General features: G+C 50.1%; 1 long non-coding RNA gene and 1 other non-coding gene across 2 annotated transcripts in view, besides 1 other annotated feature; both read left to right on the plus strand.

Annotated features, from left to right (window-relative positions):
• Window positions 1–22,070, plus strand: part of MIR3659HG (MIR3659 host gene) — a 72,397-nt gene that overhangs the window by 34,137 nt on the left and 16,190 nt on the right. The window contains exon 2 of the long non-coding RNA NR_168386.1: window positions 21,147–21,226. This is a non-coding gene — a long non-coding RNA (MIR3659 host gene). The remainder of the gene's footprint in view (window positions 1–21,146; window positions 21,227–22,070) is intronic.
• MIR3659 (microRNA 3659) lies at window positions 7,961–8,059 on the plus strand. The gene has a single exon (NR_037432.1). It is a non-coding gene; the product is annotated as a microRNA 3659 (primary transcript).
• Window positions 13,252–14,664: an enhancer, noted in NCBI's record as "VISTA enhancer hs238". NCBI's record gives its function as "enhancer in: neural tube[13/20]" and the evidence as "EXISTENCE:transgenic organism evidence [ECO:0001131][PMID:17130149]".

The following is a 22,070-nucleotide window of genomic DNA, read 5'->3' on the forward strand; positions in this document are numbered from 1 at the left end:
CAATTTTTTGTATTTTTAGTAGAGGCAGGGTTTCACCACATTGGCCAGGCTGGTCTCCAACTCCTTGCCTCAAGTGATCTGCCCGCCTCGGCCTCCCAAAGTGCTGGGATTACAGGCATGAGCCACTGCGCCCAGCCTAATATTTTATAATCACCAGGCACTGTGGTATGTTCTGAGCCTTGGCTTTCTTCCCTGAAAATGGTACCTGTCTCTTGGGACTGTTGTGAGGACTGATTAATATCCACAGAATACTTAGCACACTGCCTGGCACAAAATTAGCATTGAGTGTTTGTTATTAATATAATAATGGCTGACATATATTGAGTACTGTGTTTGTCATATTCCATGGTGCTAGGTGCTTTATGCAGGATATCTAAATGCTCAAAACAATCCTTGCAGTAAGTGTTAGTACCCTCATTTTCAGTTGGGGAGATTGAGGCTTAAGAGAAGTTAAGTAGGCTAGGGGAGGTGGCTCATGCCTATAATTCCAGTACTTTGGGAAGCTGAGGTGGGAGGATCACTGGAGCTCAGGAGTTCAAGACCAGCCTGGGAAACATAGTCAGATCCCATCTCTACAAAATAATAAAAATAAAAATAGAAACATTGAGAAAAGTTAAGTGAATTACCCAAGTTCACAAAGTAAGGAAGAGGCAGTGTAGGGATCTGAATTCTGATCACCTGACTCTAGAGGCTGTGCTGTGGCTGCTCAGAACCAAGAACTAATAATAATTAATAATCTAGAATAATCACTTCCATATATTGAGCAGTTATTATGTGTGAGGGCACAGCTCTTATCTATACCTGTATTTATATCTATGCCTCAATTTTTAAAACTGTCCTCTCTGAGGCAGATTCTATAATTAGCTGGATTTTTTTTTTTTTTTTTTCCTGAGACGAAGTTAAACTCAGTCACCCAGGCTGGAGTGCAGTGGCACAATCTTGGCTCACTGCAACCTCCGCCATCTGGGTTCGAGCAATTCTCCTGCCTCAGCCTCCAGAGTAGCTGGGATTATAGGCATGCTCCACCATACCAGGCTAATTTTTTGTATTTTTCCTTGCAGTGAAACCCTCAGACAGGGTTTCACCATGTTGGCCAGGCTGGTCTTGAACTCCTGACCTCAAGTGGTCCACCTACCTAGGCATCCCAGAGTGCTGGGATTACAGGTGTGAGCCATCGCACCTGGCCAATTAGCTGAATTTTTTACACATGAGACTGAGAGTAAGAAGGATTAGGTAACTTATGCAAGACCTCAAGCTAGGGAAATGCAGTGTGGGGACGGGAACCCAGGCTGTTGACATGGATGTGACCACTGCAGTATATCACCTTCATAGCAGGGAAGATATATGTATTATATATCATTTGAATGTGGTGTAGAGCTTGGATTAAACCATTGTTTATGCAATACATACTGAAAACAAAAGGATTCACGATGTTATAAGAGAAAGGGACACATAAAGATATACTAGGCAAAGGCTAACACTAAATAAATAGAGGTCAAAATTGGTGGCCTTCCAATGACTCCAGATGACATGAGCAGGCCACAACCAGTTTGATTCAGCTTGATCCCATCTTGGCCAGCCCCACACATTGTGAGCTGGCCCCAACAGGTCTGGTTTGATTGGTGCCAGCTTGAATCAGTTAGTTAGATCTAGTTGCAGCCAGTTGGGACCAGCCTGAACTGGATTGACCTAGTTTAAGTCCTTTTGTGTCTTCAGGCTGACTTGCCTTTCAGTCTTAGAGTTTTGGGGCTCCCTGTGGAAACTCTTCTCTTGGAATCCTGGCTGGATGGCTTTGCTTCAGACACTAGCGAGGGGGAGAGTGTAAGTAAATTATTAACCTGACAGGATCCAGCCCTTGGACCCTTGGGGGTGTAACAGCTGGAAGGCCCCATCCTGTGAACCCTGGCTTGGCTCACTCTGCAAAGTCCCTCCTACTCAAATTCCCCTCCAAAGGTCCCTGTGGAATCCCCTCGCTGCTTGCCTTCCCCGCACCCTGTCCAGCCCCAGAAGTAGATTTTTCCTTCATTTTCTTTTTGAAGGTGCAAACATAGGGGGTCCATGTGAGCAGACCTAGAGCTATCCCTGAGCAGTGTGGCTTGTCTGGGATGTTAGGGCTGATGTGTGGGTGGTGCCCCCTGTGTTGGGTGATGGTTGGTGTTGCTCACTTCATTTCTAGACCCCGACAAAGATGTGACTTGTACTGCTACACTGACAATGTAACGAAGCATTGATGTGCATGGAGACTGGGAGAGGAAGGTGGGCAGAAAGGGCAGGTGCTGGCTAATGGGATGCCACATCACATTATCATTGTGCAGGAACCATGCCCCCTGCAGAGGATAACAAGGGCTGGAGGTAATGAGTACCAAACAGGCCTGAGGAACGCCCCCCGCCCTGCTGTGCAGGCTGGACTCCTACCCTGGGGCTTGCTGCTCCATTCCCAGCTGGACTGGGTTGCAGGGAGCGGTGGGACTGATCAGACTCAGGAAGCGTTAGAAATCCAGCACCAGCTGTCTCCTGGAGGCTGAAAATCCCCTGGGACTGGCCACCTCCTCCTTTCTCATTCGTGCCATGCCTAAGGTTATGCGGATGTTGGTTAGAGGCCTGGGGATGGCCACCCAATTGGAAGAAACCTGTCTAATGCACTTACCCACGGCCACAGGGAGATCAGTAGCTGGCCAGCCCATGCTCCTTTGAAATGCCTGTGGATATGTGCTGCATAGACAGAGGGTAGTGCAGAGAGAGAGGCTCCTTTCTAGTGTGGGGTACAGCCCCCCCCACCCCCCCACTGTGGAAGGCAGACTGCTCCAGAGGACACCTGGTGGGGGCCAGGCCTAGTTCTCTCCCTTCCAGTTCTGGAGCAGAATGCCTGCCCCCTCTACCTGCCGTGAAGCAGGCCATGCCAGGGCTCCTGGCACTTCAGAGGATGCTTCCTATCCCTTCTGTGGGTCTCAGCTCTCCAGGTCCTGTGGAGGGACTGGGGCCACAAGAGAGTTGGCGATGGGCCTATGTGTGTTAATTAACCTGGGGTAGTCTTTGTGGACTGTGCCCTGAGGTCAAGGATGGACTCTTCCCCAGGGACTGACTGCCTTGGGGACCAACTGAGCCCAGAAACAACTGTGCCCAGGGACTGACTGCTGACTGTGCCCTGTGCCCTGGGGGACCAATGATGCCCAGGAATCAGCTACATCCAGTCACTAACTGTGTCCATGGAATGACTATGCCCAGGAACAACTGTTCTCAGAGACCCTTTGAGGGCTCACTGTGTCTGGGGCTCATCTGCACCTAGGACTGACTTTGCCCACTGTCACTATACCTGAGAGCCAACTGGACCCAGACTCTACCTGTGCCCAAGGATAGATTATGCCCAGAGAGTATCTGTGACCAGGGACCATAGAGAGTGTCTATGTGCCCAGAGACAGACTGTACACAGGACTGACTTTGCTTAAACACTGTTTCTAGGGACCAACTGTGTCCTGGTACTAGCATTTTCCAACAATCAACTATGTTCAAGGACAGCTGTACCTGGCAAACAGCTGAGCCCAGGCACTGGCCCTGCCGAGGGCTGGCCTAGGCCCAAGGATAGATTCTATCCAGGGACCTGAGGCCTGCTGTGCCCAGGGACCAGCTGTGTCAGGAAACAAGCTGTGCCCAGGGACTCTGGATAGGGGGAAGCTGGGGACAGAGACTCTCCCATGTGGGCATAGACTTGTGTGCCTGGCATACAGGCTGCCCAGCTGCATGCCACATGCCTGGTGTGAGTGCCTCTGGCAGCAGCTCTTATTCTGGGACAGTGGGAGGAGGGCCCCTTGCCCTTTGTGGAGGTACTCTCAGGCTCCTTTCCCATTTTGGCACCTAGTGAATAGGGAAGGAGAAAGAGCACACAGAGGGCTGGGCGCTGAGGCTCATGCCTGTAATCCCAGCATTTTGGGAGGCTGAGGTGGGTGGATCGCTTGATGCCAGGAGTTTGAAACCAGCCTGGCCAACATGGTGAAACCCCATCTCTACAAAAAATACAAAAATTAGTCAGGCATGGTGGCACATGCCTTTAATCCCAGCTACTCCAGAGGCTGAGGCACGAGAATCGCTTGTATTTGGGAGATGGAGGTTGCAGTGTGCCAAGATTGCACCACTGCACTCCAGTGTGGGTGACAGAGCAAGAATCTGTCTCAAAAAAAAAAAAAAAAAAAAAAAGGCACACAGAGCTATTGAGCACCTGTCCTGTCATGTGTCAGCACATGCCTGGTCCTTTCTTCCCCATATGTCATTTTGTCCCCAGGACTACCCCATGAGGCAGCAGTTATCATCTTCATTTACAGATGGAAAAACTGAGGTTCACAAAGATGAAAGTTCTTTCCTGGTCTTTCTGACTCCAAAGCTCTTACCTGTAGTGAGGTCTGCCTATTTCCACACTGCACGTGGGTCTCCCTGAGTGGAGGGAGAGGCAGGGGCCTCCCAGCATCTTACAGAAGAGGAAGCTGAGGAAGGACCAGATCCCAGGCATCTGGTCTGCAACTGGCACACTAAACCTGTTCATGCCAGTGGCCCTGACTTCTCAGGAGAAGGGCACTTGGCTGGCCTGGTAGGAAGGGCTTCCTGGAGGCTGCATTCCTGGTTGCTGTCTTGGAGGCAGGAAGGCCAGGGTGTGGAGGCCGTCTGTCCCATCACAAGCCCCCTTTCATGATGCTCAACAAGGCTCCTTCAGAGGCCGGACTCGGCTGTGCAAACACGCACATCTGGGCTGCTGGCTGGGGCGGGGTGGCGGAACTCCCCCACAGCTGGCCAGCTGCTCCTGACCTTCTGGACAAAGGGAGCTTTGGCCCTGTGGGGGTTCCCGGGAACTTGGAGCTCTGGAGGGTATAGCCTCTACCCAGCCCTCCACGGGGGGCAGTCCTCTCTGGCTGCCGCCTGTCATTTTCATCATAACTGGAACTCTGCCTCTGACAGCATTTCCTGCTGAGGGCATGCCCTTTCCCTCCCTCGAGGGCCTGCACCCAGCCAGAACTGAGGAAAATAGAACAAAGGCTGCAGGCAGAAAGAAACTCAAGCGGCAGGCAAAGAAGCATCTAAGCAGCCATCCCAGTCTAATCCCCATCCTCTTGGAGCTTTTAATTTCGTGGAGGAGAAAGACACAAGCCAGATAATCGCGCACGCACACACACACACACAACTGTAAATAACAACAGACTATGTAGTGTCCTTCAGGTTTTAGGCACTGGCTTGGTGCTTTACATATTTTAACTAATTTCGTCCTCACAACAACCCTATAATAGGGAGATACTATTATTATTCCCATTTTACAGACCAGGCAGTTGAGGCACAGAGAAGTTAGGTGACTTGCTCAAGGTTACACAGCTAGTAAGTGGCAGAGCCAGGATCTGAAATTAGGAAATATGCATTCTTTTTTTTTTTTTTTTTTTTTTTTGAGATGGAGTCTTGCTCTGTTGCCCAAGCTGGAGTGCAGTGGTGCGATGTCGGCTCACTGCAACCTTCGCCTTCTAGGTTCAAGCAATTCTGCCTCAGCCTCCCGAGTAGCTGGGATTACAGGCGTGCACTACCACACCCAGCCAATTTTTTGTGTGTTTTTGGTAGACCACGTTGGCCAGACTGGTCTCAAACTCCTGACCTCAAATGATTCGCCCACTTTGGCCTCCCAAAGTGCTGGGATTACAGGTATGAGCCACCACCCCCCGGCCACGGAAACATGCATTCTTAATGATGCACATTTGCAAACCACCGTGAGGTCCATCTCAGGAGGAGCTTGGATGGGGAGTGGGGAAGCCACTGGGGAGGGCAATGGGATTCAAGCTTCGAGAAGATCACTCTGGCTGCTGGGTGGAGGGCAGATGGGGGTCCAGACTGCAGGCTGTCAAAAGAGACCTGGTGAGAGATGACAGCGATGCGGCCTGGATTAGGGCAGGGGCAGTGGGCACCAGGAGAAGAGGGCAAGTTTGGGAGAGACGTAGGGCCTAGAATGGTGGCACCTGGTAGGTGAGTGGGTGTGGGAGGGTGCCTTAAGGTGGGGTTGAGGACTCTACCCTGTGTTTGGGAAGTGAGCCAACCAGCTGTGTCTCAGGTGCTCTCTCCACCTGCCCGGCAAGCCCACCTCGACTCTCCTGCTTCCTGGGGGAAGAGGTGGCCTGGGAGGCATGTGGGAGGCTTTCCATGACTGCTGAGCCCTAGCTTCCTGGAGCATCCCTCAGGGTTCGGGGAGAGTAGGTCACTGGTAAGTGGAGGAAGCCCCGAACCTGGCCTCAGACACAGATTTAAATCCTGACTCCTCTGATGAGCTGTGAGACGTTAGGGGAGTCACATATATCTCTGGACCTTAATTTCTTACGAAATTTGGGAAATGATGCCTGCCTCACTGGGCCTGCATACGACAATTAATATGGAAGTGGACTATGAAGGTGAGGGTGGAGGAGCTGTTTTGTTGTTGCTGTTCAATTGTATCATTTGAGGCTTCTTTCCACGTGGCAGGAGAGGTGGGCTGGTGGGAGGCTCGGGAGGCCTGGACGCCAGCCTCTAAGAGGTCACGGGATGGTGGACATGATCCCATGATGGGCCTCAGTCTCCGGATCTGGGATGTGAGCCCCCGATGGGAGGCAGAACAGCCAGGGTGGTCCTGCCAGGCAGGTGGAGAGAGTGCTGCTGCAAGAGTTAGGCGCTGAGACAGAGCTGGCCAGAAACAGCATCCCTCGTTCATTCCAAGTTCATTCACTCCTTTAACAGACATGCCACTGAACACCTGCACAGTGTCAGGCCCCATCCTAGGGGCTGCGATATGATGAGGAAACAAGGTCATTCAGGTTCTGGCTTTCTAAAGCTCATCGTACAGTGGGGGCAACAGATAGTAAAAAAATCAACAAGGAGGGTTGAAACAGCAAAATGTTCTATGAAGACAAAAAAACCAAAACCCAAACCCTGGTGATGTAAAAGAGGGTGAGGGGGAGAAGGGCTCCTTCAGATAGGGCGGTCAGGGGCAGTCAGGGGAGGTCTCCCGAGGTGGTGACAGGTGAGCTGAGGCTAGGCTGATGAGAAGTTTAGGGGAAGAGCGGGCAAGCTCAGGTGACTAGTGAGGAAGGAGGAGTGTGACAGGAGAGGCATGGAGAGATGGGAGAGAAGCCAGGTCAGGTGAGGCAGGAGAGAACGCGGTCATGCCAGGCTTTGCAGGCCCTTCTAAGGAGTGTGAACTTTGTTCTGAGAGCAATAGGAAGCCTTTGAAAGGTTTGAAGCAGGGCGTGACATAGTCTGATCCACTGTCTGGATGACTCCAGCTGCTGTGCAGCGAATGGATTGAATGGTGGGAGGGACTGTGATGCTTAGCGACCTCTGGCTGTGACGCCTGCCCCAGCCCTGCTGTGAGGATGCTCCACTCTGTCTGCTTAGGACTTACTTGCCTTCCACACTCTCCCCAGCCCTCTTCTGGGCCAGCAGCTCCAGGCTGTGCCAGAGTTCCCAGAAAGCACCAAGAATCTTGAGGCAGAGGACTGACTGGCTGGCCTGGGGAAGGCTTGGCAACCCAAGTGCAGGTACAGTGGGCATGGGTGTGGCTGCCCTGCCTGCCTCCACCCTCCATGCAGGACAGGTACCCCACGCCCACCCCCACCCCTCATGGGGCTTTTGAATTAAAAAGTCTTAACTTTTTCTTTTAAATGGCAGCTCTGTGTACTGTACATGGTAATTAATACATTAGCATTTATGCAAAATACCATCACAGCCGGGCTGGTATGTCAGCTGCCTTCCTGAGCTGCAAAAATGTGAGCGCCCCGAGGTACCTCAGACAGGCCCCCGCCCCTAGCAGACAGCTCTGTTTGACCTGCATCATTCACTAACCTGTCTCGGGGAGCCTGTCTACATGCACACATCTGTGTATGTTGGCCAATGTAAATGCTGCTTCTTGTGAGTGTCTGTGGTATGCATATGTGTCCTTGTGTGTGGATGCACACGTGCTGCTTGTGTCTCTACAAGCAGATACAAGGATGCCCTTGTACACAACACACGTGCTGCTTGTATAGACATGAGTGTTGTCTACGAGGGCATCCTTGTGTCTGTGTGTGTGCCTGTGTTGGTCTGGGCATGAGTGCATATGAGTCTATGGTTTTATATGTGTACATCTCAGAATGTGTGTGTATGTACATTTTGTTTTTTTTTCTTCCAGGTTGAAGCGATTCTCTTGCCTCAGTCTCCCCAGTAGCTGGGATTACAAGCACCTGCCAACACGCCTGGCTAATTTTTTAATTTTTAGTAGAGATGGGGTTTCACCATGTTGGCCAGTCTGGTCTCGAACTCCTGACCTCAAATGATCCGCCCACCTTGGCCTCCCAAATTGTTGGGATTACAGGCGTGAGTCACTGTACCTGGCTGTGTATGTACATTTCTGTGTGCCTGTTGTGCTTGTCTGCCGGTCTATGTATTTGTGACTGGGTGTGTCTGTGTGTTTCTGTGCATCCATGTGGGCTGTGCATGCATGTGCATATGTGCATGGATATGGATGTTCATGTTCATATGTGTATATCAGTGGCTGCCCACGCTTGAATGCCTCTGTGTGGGTCACTAGGTATGTCTGTGGGATCTGCTATTTGTGTCTGTGCATCTGTGTGTCAGTATGACTATGTGTGTGTCTCTGTATGTGCATTCCTATGCATGTCTCAATTTGTGTGTGTGTGTGCGCATGTGCGTGTGAAATGCTTGCTAGACTGACTGTGAAATGAAGTTGCAGCACAGTGGAAAGAACAACTCACTGGAGACAGTGACATGCGTATTCTCTGGACCCTGGGCACCCTGCCGCTGATGGGCTCACAGGGCAGTGGGAGAGATGAGCCCTTCAGTGGGCAGTGAGGACCCGGGTTACTGGTTGATGGCAGAGGCCAGCGCAGGGTGCTCCTCGGAAGCTCAGTTGGCCCTGAGTAGGAGTAGGGGTGAGGTGGGGTTGGGGAGAGTTTCTGAGGCGGCGGCTGTTGAGTGGGATCCTGGAGGGTGACTAGGAGTTAGCCAGATGAGAAGTAGAGTCTGAGGAGCACGGATGTGGCACTGTGACAGCACCTGGCCTGTTCAGAGAGGCTGGAGACCAGGAAGGAGCTCATTGTCAGGAGTCGGGGTAGCTGGACTAGACCACCCAGGGCGCATATCCTGAGGGAAGCGGGACTCACTGGAGGCCTTCAAGAAGGACAGGGTCATGGTCAGGGTAGAAATATCACTCTGCTTTCACAGTGAGGAAGGACTCAGAGGGATATGCCAGGAGACAGAGATTGGAGCCACGGCAGCAGGGGGAAAGGAAAGGGGATGGAATCAGAGGGTATTCCCGAGGTAAAACGATTAGTATCCAGAGATTGATTAGACAACAAAGTGAGGGGAGGGAGAGGGAGGAGCAGGAGTTGGGGGACATCCAGTTTGTGGCTGCAGAGATTGGATGGTTGATGAGGATGTTCACGGAGACAGTGAACACAGAAGGGTGAAGGGAAGAGTTTTCTTTGGAGGGAAGGTGATGAGTTTTAGACATCTTGAGTTTCAGATACCTATGAAATGTAATTTGTTCATTCATTCTTCATTCACTCATACATATACCATGTATCAGGCATTTGAGAAACCAAGATGAACGAGACAGAGAGACAGTGGAGTTTAGAAAGAATTACAAAGGCTCCGGAAGCTGGGACCACTGTAGGAGAAGGGAGAGAGGAGAGACCTGTCATGCAGAGGCCTGTGGGTGGGGTAAATAGGTTAACCTTTTAGGGAAGACAGTGGGAAGGCATGGAAGGATTGTGCAAGTGTGGGGGCTGCCATGTCAGGTGTGTACTTTAGAAAACCTTTCCTCTTCTTGCACATGTCCATTGTCAAGGGGTCCCTGGTTTTCTAATCTGTAAAATGGAGCTGATGATCTGGGCCGTTGCCACACAGTTGCACAATTGTGAAGTAGATTAATGCTGGGTCCTGGTAATGTGTCCCTGCCCTCAAGGAGCTTACTGTCCAGTGTAGAAGCAAGCACAGAAACAGACACTACAATGTGGTAGATGCTGTGATGTGGCCAGCACATAGTAGGTGCTCAATAAATATTTGTTAAATAAATGATTGATTGAATGGATAACAGCACAAGGATCCGTAGGAGCTGAAGGAGGTTTCTCACTCACCAGGAGGTAGAGGGGTTAAAAAAGACTTCCTTGGTGAGGTGCTGCACAAGCTGGGTCCTAAAGAATGATTAGGAATTAGCCAGGGGAAGAGGGGAGGGAGCAGCACAAAGGCTGGAGGTGGAGGAGGTGCGACAGGACATCATTTAGTGTGGCTGGAGCAGAAGCTGCACAGTGAGGAGAGGAGGGGTGCAGTGGGATATGACAGAGGCCATATCACAAAAGATCCTGAGTGCCAGGCCAAGGAGCTTAAGTCCTCCACTCCCCCAATAAAGAACGTGGAGCCACTGAAGGCTTTTAAGCAGAGGAGTGGCTGATTAGTTTTGTGTTTTCTAGAAAGCACTCTGGCCTCTTGGCAGGGAGGTTGGTGATGGAGTCTTTTGTGGCTTAGTTGGGGTAATGATCGTGCTGCTGTACGTCTTGGATTTATCTTAAGGGATAGGGCACCAAACTTTTTTTCTTTTTTTTAAAAATTTATTTGTGACAGGGTCCTGCTCTGTTGCCCAAGCTGGAATGCAGTGGTGCAATCATAGCTCACAGCAGTCTTGAACTCCTGGGCTCAGGGGATCCTCTGACCTTGGCCTCTCGAGTAGCTGGGACTACAGGCATGCATCGCCCCCCACCCCCACCCCCGACCCCAGCAAATTTTTGTATTTTTTTTTTTTGGTAGAGACTGGGTCTCACTATGTTGCTCAGGCTGGTCTTGAGCTCCTGGCTACAAGTGATTCTCCTCCCTCAGCCTCCCAAAGTGTTGGGATTACAGGCATGAGCCACTTTTTAAAACTGTTTTAAAACATAGATTGAAGCATCTACAGACCAGGCAGTGGGAACCCTGGCTTCTACACTTTACCCTGCTGTTCTCTGGCTCTGTGACCTTGGATTGGTCACTTAGCTTCTTAGGGCTTTAGATGGTTCTTGGGTAAGGAGACACAGTTAGAAAAGGGAAGGACATTGGGAAGGGCTTTGCGTGGCTTCCTGGGATATAGGGTCCCCTCAGGGCACAGGAGGCACACTGGGATAGGGGGCAGCTGCCTTCCTTCTTCCTTCTCCTTGACAGGAAGAGGAGGAGAAGAGTGAGGACAAGGATGAGCTCATGTATTTTCATGCTGTGGCCTCGACACCCAGCCCCTTAGTCCCAGCTCACAGAGGCTGGGAGGCTGCTCTGGAGTGGGCTGACCCCTCCCGCAAGCAGGCACTCTGCTATTGTTCAAAATGGAATTGGTCCCAGGAAGCTTGGAGCTTGTGAAAGCCGCTATGAATTTTGCAAAACAGCTCTGAGGCGGTAAAGCATGTCAGGAAAATCAAATGCGGAAATCCCTATTTAGAAACCCCACTCTGGACAGGCATGGTGCGCCGGGAGGAAGGACTGGGTAGGGGAGGGGTATGGCCTAGATGCCCCTCCCCTGTAGCCTGGGAGGGTGCCCAGCACAGCTAGGAGGGGAGACCCCTTGGCCCCACCTTCTTTCCAACTTACCTGGTTTCCCAGATTTGAGGCCCTCACAAAGCACCCCCAACCTTTTCCAATGCACCTATACTTTTTTTTTCTTTTGAAAGCAGCTTTATCATTTTGCAAAAAAGGATACATATGCTCATTGCAAAAAATTCAGACAATATGGAAAAGTTCAAAGAAAAATGTAAAAACCACCTCAGATTTTACCAGCCAGAGATAACCACATAACATTTTGGTGAACGTCCTTCCAGACTTCTCTCCTTGCATAAATATACACAAATAGATTTCACGTATGCAACTCCACCCTGAGTGAAATCAGACGACACATGCTGTTCTGTCACCTGTTTTTTTCCTCCCCACTCAGCAATATGTCATGGACATCCTTCATGTCAATTCATACAGATCCACCTCATGGTTTTAATGCCTGTATTATGTGTATGGATATACCAGTATCTGGATATACCTCACTTTACTTACTCAGTCCCCAGCTGATGGAGATATATGTTTTTCCAATTGTCTTGATCCCTGCAATGAATATCTAGGTGCATATATCTTTGCATGTTTCATTGATTCATTCATGCTACAGATGTTTTTTGAGTGTGTTCTGTGTACCAGCCCAATGCCAGGTACATAGGAAATGTACCAGCCCAATGCCAGGCATAGAAATCATGAATAAAACAGACATGGTCAGTCCTGGCTGTGGTGGAGTTTATGATGTAGTGGGGAGACACGGTGTCTGGCCCCTGCCATCAGGAAAGACAGCAGTTTTTTGCAATGAGCGTGTGTATTAAGCAGTTACACAGATACTTATCCAATTAGCAGTTGATCTGTAGTACGAAGGAGAAGTACACATAGTACGAAGGAAACGTACAGGCTATGACAGAATAAAACAAGAGAAGCTAACCTGAGCTTGGGAGTCAGGGAGGGCTTCTCTGAGGAGGTGACATTCAGCTTGAAAGATGAGTGGGCAAAAGGCAGAGTCAGGATGAAGAGGAAAGCACTGGTGAGCATGGGAGGGGGACAGCAAGAGGGTTTCACTCAGAAGGAACAGTGTTTTTAATTATTAACACACGGGAAATTCCTCAAAATGAAATTGCTGGGTCGGAGGGTAAGCAGATTTTGCATTTTGTCACATATTGTAAACTGCTTCTCACCAAGGTTTTACATGTGTTCCATCCCGTAAAGGGTATGCCACGAGGTTGTTGTGAAGGTTCAGTAAGAGAGTGAGCGTGGAGGGTTAAGCATAGCGCTGTCACATAGGCAGTGAGCTGGCCACTGCTGTTGCCATTATTATTATAATTATCTTTGCCAATCTAATCGGTGAAAAATGATATCTCATCTTTGTTTTTAACCAATGTGTCTTTTTTTCGACTCCACAGGAAATTGAGCCCTTGAGGGGGAAATGAACCATCTTTCTTTCTTAAGCCACCTTTGTCAGGAACCTTCCTGTGCCCCTTGGGGAGGCAGGAAATGTCTAGGATCCCTGGCCTGCAGTCCCATCCTCACAGCAAAGCCCCTAGGACTTAGAAATGACTCCAAGTCCCACGTGGCTCTGGGCTTCCAAAAGCAAGCGCCAATCAGAGAAGGTGGAGAGGAGATGGGAGAATGGTTTGGAACCTGTGTGGGACGGTCGTCCCGTGGAGAGGGGCAGGCAGAGAGGTGGGGGCCCTGGAGGCAGAGTCCCATGCCATTAGGAGTGCTTGGAGATCCCAGGTGCTCCTGAATGATATTAATGCATCTATATGAATATTAATAGCATGGCCATTAATATTAATGACAATAATAAACAAGTGTGAGGATTATTTTTAAAGAGGGCTGCTGCTCCAGCTGTTGCCTCCCTTCATTAATAAGCTGCTGAGATTCTCAGCCATCCTTTCCCCAGACCTCTGGCAAGACTCAGTGGCATCCTCAGGACCTCTGTCTGGGTAGGGGTGAGCCGAAAGAGCATTTTCCCAACATTTTGGATGGAAGGAGAATCAATGCAGGAAACCCTGAGTTTCCGTCCAAGGAGGTCCGGGCCATGTGAGTGGGCATGGGGCAAAGGAGGGATGAATCGGCTTGTGTATGGGAGCCAGCTGTGAGGACCCTACTTCCTTCTCTCGCAGGCCTGCGGCCCCAGCCGTCTGCATCCCCAGAGGAGGCTGGGCCAGGAGGGGGTTTGCAAGGGACCAATCTCTTGCAAAGGTGGTGAGAGGAATTACCCTGCTAAAGTGATCATGAATTATAGAAAGGAAGAGGGGGGAGGAAGGCCCAGAATATCATATGTGTAAATAAAACGGAGTGGCGGCCAGACATGAAAGCCAGCCACCAAGCTCTTGCACCCACAGAGCCTCTTCTCCTGTGGACCCACCTCCTGCCAAGTTCCACCGCAAGTCACTTCCAGCCTCCTTCTTCAAAGGATTTGTTAATAAGTCAATGACGGAACATCTAAAGGGGAAAAATATTTCTCTTTATGGTTGAAGATAATTGTCCCAGGAAAAAAAGAAAACAACAAACCTTTAATTACAACTCACATGGAGAAAGCTTGATTTGTGGGCAGAGCCCAAATGCTGAGGAGCTGGATGTAAAATATTTGTAATATTTAGGGAACCTAGAGTTTTACATAAAAGTAAACAGCATTGCCTGAAGGCACAATTTCCAGCAACACAATAAAATGTGCAGTGAATTTATGGCGGCCATCCATTAGCTCTTACCAAGGCAACGTCGCCCCTATCTGTCGTCCATCATTATAATAGAGGGTTAATGCACCGAATTTACATAAAAAAGTCATATTGTCTGCATGAATTATTTACACTTGAAGCTGTTTTTACAGCTTGGTTTCAAGCTGGATTCTGGGAGAGATTCTGCCAGTAAATTACTCTGTGGAGACCTGGTTCTATAACTGTGCGCAGAGCCGGCAATGAAAAGAAAGGAAAATGGGCAGGCCCTGGCGGGTCGTTGGTGCTGACGCCTCTCGGGTGGGGGCTGGAAGCAGTGGTGGAGGCTTCTGGAGGTGGTTGGATGTTGCTGCAGATGGGACTCTGCCTCTGGGCCTGTGGCTTCCTGGTTGCCACTCAGCTGCCCGTGTGGCCAAAGTGAGTTCAGGCCCAGAGAACCATAGCAGTCCTCCAGAGGTGTCTGAGGGCTCTTGGTGGCCAAAGTCTAAGGCCTTTTAAGGATCAGGGGGATCCCTGCAGAGGGAGAGAAGCTGCTGCAAGAGTTGGAGCAGGAACCCAACTCAGCAGTGTGAGCAAGACCCATCATCCCCATTGTACAGATGGGAAGATGGAGGCCTCAAGAGGCACCTACTCAAGAGGTGGGAAGTCTATTCATCCCAGGTGGGCCTGGGGACTGTGGGAGGTACATGCACTTCAGACCTGGGGGGTGGGGGGGCTGGCACGGAGCATCTTTGGGACACACAGAGAAAGAGAGTCTCCATGCCACGCATCTCAGCCCTTATTGTTTTCCGGGACCTTTCCTTAACTGATGGCAGTTTTAGTGGTTGGGCTGGCGTGGGATGCACTGATGTGTGCCACTGGGTTCTTAAATCTCTCGAGGTATGGGGTACTGGGGAGAACTGCTCATGTTTCCAGGTGATGTGGAGTTATGGGGAGCTGGTCATGCAGTGGAAAGACCTGGATTTTTATTTTTATTTATTTATTTATTTATTTATTTATTTATTTATTTATTTATTTATTTTTGAGATGGAGTCTTGCTCTGTCGCCCAGGCTGGGGTGCAGTGATGCCATCTCGGCACACCACAACCTCTGCCTCCTGGGTTCAAGTGATTCTCCTGCCTCAGCCTCCTGAGTACCTGGGATTACAGGTGTGCACCATCATGCCTGGCTAATTTTTGTATTTTTAGTAGAGATGGGGTTTCGCCATGTTGGCCAGGCTGGTCTCAAACTCCTGGCCTCAAATGATCTGTCCACCTCGGCCTCCCAAAGTGCTGGGATTACAGGTGTGAGCCACTGCCTAGATTTTTAATCAAGTGTCAGCTGTGTGGCCCTGGGTACGCTTTGGGCCCTCAGTTTCCTCATCTGTAAAATGGGATTTCTAATCTTAACCCTCCTAGACTGTCCCAAAGGAATGGTGAGAGGCACCAATGGGATACAATACTCGGAAGGTGTCTGGTGTGTTAGAAGCAAGGCCACAGGTGACAGGGTTGGCAGAGGGAAGTGCTGAGGCCTGGGCTGATAGAGGAACTTGAAAAGAAGAGAGTGAAATGGACACAGAGAGACAAGGCTAGATAATCAGACACAGAGAGGTGAAAGAATCATAGAGACAGAGAGAGAGGGAGAGGGAGAGACAAAGAGCAAACCCACAGAAACAGAGAGAGAGAGAGAGAGAGAGATGGGGGTGGTGTGGGGAAGAGGCTGTGTTCCAGGAGAAAGAAGTCAGAGGCAAGGTCAAGCTGCTTAAGGCTCCAACTGCCTGGAGTCCTGTGGATGCCTTTCTGGCCAGTGAAGAGGTTGGCAGGGCAGGGCCCACCGTGGGGCCCGTGCCACCCCTTGCCTGGACCCTCTCCCTCCTTCCAGGCCAAGAAGTGCCTGGGCTCCTCTCTGGCCTGGGGGTTCCTGCCTCTTCTCCCTTTGCTTTCCTTACAGCACAAGGAGGCCAGAGCCGGATGCCAGCGCCCTTCCTCCCCCATCCCGCAGCACCTGGGATGGGCGTGTGCTCGTCGCTGTCGCCGTGCTCTCGTCTCCCACTCCTGGAGCAGCCACAGCAGGTCCCAGGGGCCTGGAGACAACAAATGGCTCCCTGCTGATGGGCTGCTTGCCGCCTCCTGTCTGCCAGCCAGTCCTGCTGCACACCGGCAGATAATCAAGTAGGGCAGGGGAACCTCTCCTGCCCACGGTGGTGTGATTTAAACCTGAACTTTGCTTTCTTTCATTCCCTGGAGAAACAGGATTTAGATTGTAAATCTCTTTCTTCCTGAGAACATGCGCATACACCCAGGTGCACACACACTTGCATAAACACATAAAGGTGTTCACACACTGCAAACTTGAATACTTACACGCAAACATGTCCACCCGTTTCCACACCACACATGTAAGCAATCACGCACGATGCATCTGCATGTGCAAACAGCTCACGGCCACAGGTAAGGGCAGGAGGAAAATTTGTCAGTGGCTGGAACGGCTGTGATGTGTGGGGTGGGTGGAAGCTGGTGAAGTGGACAAGGGATGCTGAAATTGCAAGAAACTCTCTAGACCTCACCCCGCCTTGTTACATGGGAGAGGAATGAGGTTTGTGCTGTTGCATGAACATGTGTGCCTCTGTGTGTGTCCCTGTGTGCAAGCGTGTGTGTGTGTTTCTGTGAGTGTTTTGCAAGCGTAAGTGTCTTTGTTGAGTGCTGAGGTTGACAGTCTATGGATGGGGTAGTGTGTGCTGCATCGTGCTGGCCTTGGGACTGGACTCAGGACCGGACTGGTGTCCATAGTGCCATGGCCATGCTGTAGGCCTCGGGCAGGCTGTCGCTTTTCTCCGGGCTCCAGCTTCTGCTGGTTCCCCAGGGTTCTGCCAGTTCTGACTGTCTAGTTTCTCTGTGTGACCTTGAGGGTGTGTTTCTCCAAGGCTTGAATGAGCCGGGCTTGGGGTGTGCGTGTGTGTTTGGTGAGCATTTGCGTGTTTATGCTGGGTATGTTTGTGTGCATGTTCGTGTGTCGATGTGTTGTAGGTGTTTGTGCATGTGTTTTTGCCTGCATGTGGGCGTATTTGTATGTTCAGGTGAGTGTACTTACAGCAGCGAGGATGCCATGCACCTGTGTTTGTATTGTGAGTCTGTGTAGAGTCTGGCGTGAGCGTGTGTGACAGTGAGCTTGGGAGGTGATCTGTGGGTGTGTGTTTGCCTAGTGGGAGGATTTGTGAGGGTGGATATGGGAGGCTCCCCGTTCTTACTCCTCTGCTTTCATCTTCTCCGTAACATTGATCACCATTGGACACACTGGGTATTAGTAGTTACTTCTTTGTTTATGGTTTCTCTCCTGAAAGCTAGAATGCAAACCCCATGAGGGTAGGAGTTTTACCTGTTTTGTTCATGGCTGTATCCCCACTATTACAACAGTCCCTGGCACATGATGGTGTAGCTGATGTCCAAGAACATTCACTGAATGAATGAATGAATAACTTAATCATCTCCTTCAAGAGTTCCCTTAAGTGTCACTCTTAATTAGTGTTGACCTCCACTTAAAATTTCTGCCTGCCCCAGCGGATCATGAGGTCAGGAGATTGAGACCATCCTGGCTAACACGGTGAAACCCCGTCTCTACTAAAAATACAAAAACAAAATTAGCCGGGTGTGTTGGTGGGCGCCTGTAGTCCCAGCTATTCAGGAGGCTGAGGCAGGAGAATGGCGTGAACCCGGGAGGCAGAGCTTGCAGTGAGCAGAGATCGTGCCACTGCACTCCAGCCTGGGCAACAGAGCGAGACTCCGTCTCAAAAAAAAAAAATTTCTGCCCTCCCCTCCCCACAGCTCTCTAGTTCTTCTTATGTTGTTCTCATTTTTCTTTTTTAAATTACCTTCCAGTATACCAAGTGATTTACTAATTGTTGTTTACTTTTTATTTTTATTTTCTGAGTGGGAGTTGCACTCTGTCACCTGGCCTGGAGTGCAGTGGTGCGATCTCAGCTCACTGCAACCTCCGCCACCTGGGTTCAAGCAATTCTCCTGCCTCAGCCTCCCGAGTAGCTGGGATTACAGATGCACACCACCAAGCCCAGCTAATTTTTCTATTTTAGTAGGGACAGGGTTTACCATGTTGGCCAGGCTGGTCTTGAACTCCTGACCTCAGTTGATCCACCTGCCTTAGCCTCCCAAAGTGCTGGGATTACAGGCGTGAGCCACCATGTCTAGCTTTGTTTATTTATTATGTACTATCCTAAGTTTTTAAAATTGTTAGTATCCCTGTTAGAATGAAAGCCCTCACAAAGAGTGGAACCTTTGTTCAGTTTGTCCACTGATGTCTTTCGGGTGCCTGGAACAGTGCCTGGCAGCTGGCAGGTGCTTAATTGATATTTACTGAGTGGATGGATGGGCTTCTGTGTGTCATGCGGGCATGAGTGGGCTTTTGAAGTGTTTTCTGTGAATGTGTTTATAAAGTGTGTGTGGGTGTGTGATAGTCAAGGACTGCATTTTTTTTTTTTTTTTTTTTTTTTGAGATGGGGTCTCACTCTGTCACCCAGGCTGGAGTGCAATGGTGCAATTTCTGCTCACTGCAACCTCCACCTCCCTGGGCTCAAGTCATTCTCCCACCCCAATCTCCCTATTAGCTGGAATTATAAGCGTGAGTCACCACACCTGGCTTTTTTTTGTATTTTTTGGTAGAGATGGGGCTTCGCCATGTTGCCCAGTCTGGTCCTGAGCTCCTGATGAGCTCAAGTGATCCACCCACCTTGGCCTCCCAAAGTGCTGGGATTACAGGCGTGAGCCACCATGCCCAGTCAGGACTGCATTTTTAATGATGTGGGTGACTGTGTTTGATGATGTGGGTAACTGTGTACTTTGAGGCCCGAGGGCAAGTCTCTGATAGAGCTTTCAGGTTTGGGGCATCCTGCTTGGGTATTGTCAAAGATTTGCAAACAGACCCATGAATGGCTTCCCTAGGAATGTCTAGGAATCTTTTCCTTGGTGGGCTGCAAACCTGGTGGCCACAGGCCTGAGCCCTGTCCCTGGCAGCCTCCTGGGTCCACCCCTTCCTTTGCCTGTGGGCACATCTGGGCCTCATGCTTAGGGAATTCCCTCACCCTATAGCACAGTCTGAGCCCTGGGCTGGGAGGCATCAGGAGAAGGGCAAAGGCTGTAGTCAGTGCTGGAGGACAGCCACATGAGCAGCAGCTGGCCTCAGCACCTGGACAGTCTGGGAAGAGGGGCCTTGGGGTGCCACTTGGACAGGGGGTAATCCTGGCACCAGGGATTCAGGAGGCAGTGGTCAGTTCAGAGGCATCAGGGTTTGGTGGCAGGTGGCTAAGCCCTGATGAGGGGTTGGGAAAGAGGGTCCAAGCTGGCCCTATGCTTGGGCTGTGGGGGCATCGGGGGCCCAGGCATCAAAGAGTTTATGGTGTGATGTGGGCTTGGGGGCCAACATGAAAAGCCCACTGTTTCAGTCTTCAGGGAGTGGTGGGGTCTGTGCCTCAGTCCAGTCCCATTTAATATGAAGGTGGTGGGCACAGAGCGGCTGGGAGGTGGGGTGAGGGGAGGCCACCCTGTGGATGACAGTGTCAGGACCTAGAAGGCACTCAACCAAGTGAAACTTTGGGCTGAGGCTGAAAGACACATGCAGCAAGGCCAGAGACAATATGCCCCCTTAGGCCAGCATTTAGGAAATATTCTCTAATGCGTGAGTGTGGTGGTCAGGGTCAGACAGCTGCACTCAGCTTTCACAATCTCCAGCTGTGTGACCTTGGGAGGGTTATGTAACCTCTCTGAACCTCAGTTTCCTGACAGGCACAATGCAGATACTTTAAAAAAAATTTCATAGTGAGATTGGAAGGATCAAGCTGTCATTACTACTGTTATTCTTGTTATTTAAAAAGCTGTACAGGTCCAGGAAGGAAGGACTGTCTTGACAGGAATTCAGACAAAAAAAGATCCAGGGTTTTGGCCGATCTCAAATTAGTATGAGGGTCTAATATGGATGGTGAGATCTGTGACATACAAAAGAAGGCAGTGATCCCTGAAGCCAACATGGGTTCACCAAGACCGGGCACAGCTCTTAGGTTCTTGACAGCTTAATGACTCGTGGGTAAAGAAAACGAGCCAGCATGGGTGGAGAGGAATCTGTGATTTATTGAGCACCAACTGTGTGCTGGATACTTCACACGCATGGTTTTATTTAATCCTCACAAGCTTGTGGATTAAACAAGACGTGACAATCTCCATTTTACTGATGAGAAACTGAGTCTCCGGGAAGTGACTTGCCCAAGGTGGGTGGAGCTGGGATTCAAACCTGGGTCTGTCTGACCCTTTCTGCCATATCACACTGTCTCCTAAGATGTTGGGTAGAGTCTCTCGTGACTTTTGAGGACATGAAGGATGTCTGAGAGGGCGCAAAGAGGGCTCCCATTGGGCCAAACAACAGCCATGAAATGTTCACGTAAGTGTAACCAGGTCAGTCTACAGAAGGCCTCTAGACACTGCCATGGGGCTGTCCACCCTGCTTTGATCAGTCTATGCCAAGGACCTATAAGAAGACATGGAGGATACAGACTTATAAAAGGTGGAGTGGTAGAAAGCTCCAAGGGACAGAGAAAACCTCAGCAGAATCAGGATTTAGAAAGATCTCGACAGACTGGCGTGGCAAGGTGAATTTAGCTGAGGAAATATCACAGGGAAAAAGGCTGAGGCCCATCTTGACTACAGGAAAAATTGTAGAAGGGATGGGCAGCTCATGAGAAAGATTTAGAAGCTCAAGTGCCAGTAAGTTCAGCATGAGTCAGTAGGCTACATTAATAGAAGTATGGTGTTTGGGACAAGGGAGGGGGGCCTCTCTCTAGCCTCAGTTTACTCTCTGCCCTGGGGCAGTTTGTACTGCAGGTATTTGAAGGTCATGTGCTATTTTCTGTTTTTCCAGTTCTCTCCCTTTCTTTTCAAGTTATTAGGGGAGGCAGAGTCCTTCTGGAGTTTGACCCTTGGATTCCATCCAGAGCAGCCTCCAAAATGACACCTTTGAAGGTGGGAAAGACACTGCATATTCTCTGGGTTTTTGTTTGAGGTCTGTCTTGGATTTGTTCTTTATGCCCAATTACCCTAAGTCAAGGGAGAAGAAAGTGCTGGTCTCTGAATGTTCTGGAACGGGGAGAGCTCCTGGTTCCCTAGTTCCTACTGGCCAGGTGTATCCATTCCTTTTCCAGCTGTCTCCTTCCCTTCTTAGAGCCCTTTTTCTGGTGGTCAGTGGCTTGCCAGGGCCTGGCCAGGCTGGTTCTCCTATGCTGGAGGAGGGGCAACAGGAGGGAGCCTTGCAGCTGCTCACATTGGGGCTGGATCTCTGCTTAAGCTGGGATGTCACCTGCCAAGCTGAATTCGGCACAGGAAGCTCCTGGCTGGAAGACGCGCTGTTTAATTTGGAGATTCTGTTCCACTCTGAAATGTGCTTCTCCTGGCAGCTGCAATGAAGTGAAGCTGTTGAGCTTCCCTCTCTTATGCCAGAATCACAGCCACTTTTTCCTGAGAAAGAAACAGAGCTACAGACAGTTTTACTCATTAAATACTTTTTTTCCCCTTAAATCTGTTTTTGTAATTTTTTTTTTTTTGCGTGAACGGAAAAGTAAAACGGGTGATATTGAAATAAACAAGGCATTTGTGATGGGAAGGTTAAAGCAGATTGTTGGGGGTGGGGAAGGGGGTTGGAAATGCCCCATGTGTCTGTATGCAGGCTGCTCGTAGCCTGTTGAGGATGAGAGTGAGAGAAAGTATTCATGAGGCTGCCCCTCTCCCAGCCCAGAGGAGTCAATTTCTCCAAGTGTCCTGGGCTTCAGTGAGAAAGGCAGTGGAGAAGGGAGCTCTCGTTTATTAAGGG

The sequence above is a fragment of the Homo sapiens genome, chromosome 1, assembly GCF_000001405.40.
Source record: "Homo sapiens chromosome 1, GRCh38.p14 Primary Assembly".
Classification (NCBI taxonomy): Eukaryota; Metazoa; Chordata; class Mammalia; order Primates; family Hominidae; genus Homo; species Homo sapiens.